The 549-nt window shown below is 39.2% G+C and overlaps 1 pseudogene; it reads right to left on the bottom strand.

Annotated features, from left to right (window-relative positions):
- On the bottom strand, window positions 1–84 carry LOC124902359 (uncharacterized; annotated as a pseudogene).
- Window positions 85–549: the final 465 nt, after the last annotated feature.

Genomic DNA, 549 nt, shown 5'->3' with positions numbered 1-549 from the left:
CATTTGTTTGTACCGGTGCTCTACACGTTCAGAGAAACTTCTTTAGTAACGAACTATAGAAATGATCCCTGAAAGTATAGTCTTAGGTTAGATCTCTTCTACTGTCTCGGTTATACTTTTGCAATGGCGGTTTCAGAATTCTGAAGACAAAGTATGAGTATTTGTCTTAATAGATACAACACCTACACAATGATATCATCTACACAATGATATCAAAATTTTAGATCTGCCAATTTAGTAGGTGAATTTATCATATCCTGTGGTAATCTGGATTTGCATTTATCTTATTAGTATAGGAGAAGTTGATCTCTTTTCATATATTTAAAAGTAATTTGTTCCTAAGGAATCCTCTAAAAAACTCTTAGAACTAACAGGCCAGATGCGGTGGCTCATGCCTGTAATCCCAGCACTTTGGGAGGCTGAGGCAGGCGGATCACCTGAGGTCAGGAGTTCGAGACCAGCCTGACCAACACGGAGAAACCCCATCTCTACTAAAAATACAAAATTAGCCGTGTGTGGTGGCACATGCCTGTAATCACAGCTACTCAG

The sequence above is a fragment of the Homo sapiens genome, chromosome 9 (assembly GCF_000001405.40).
Source record: "Homo sapiens chromosome 9, GRCh38.p14 Primary Assembly".
NCBI classification, from domain to species: Eukaryota; Metazoa; Chordata; class Mammalia; order Primates; family Hominidae; genus Homo; species Homo sapiens.
This window is presented reverse-complemented; position numbering and strand designations above follow the sequence as displayed.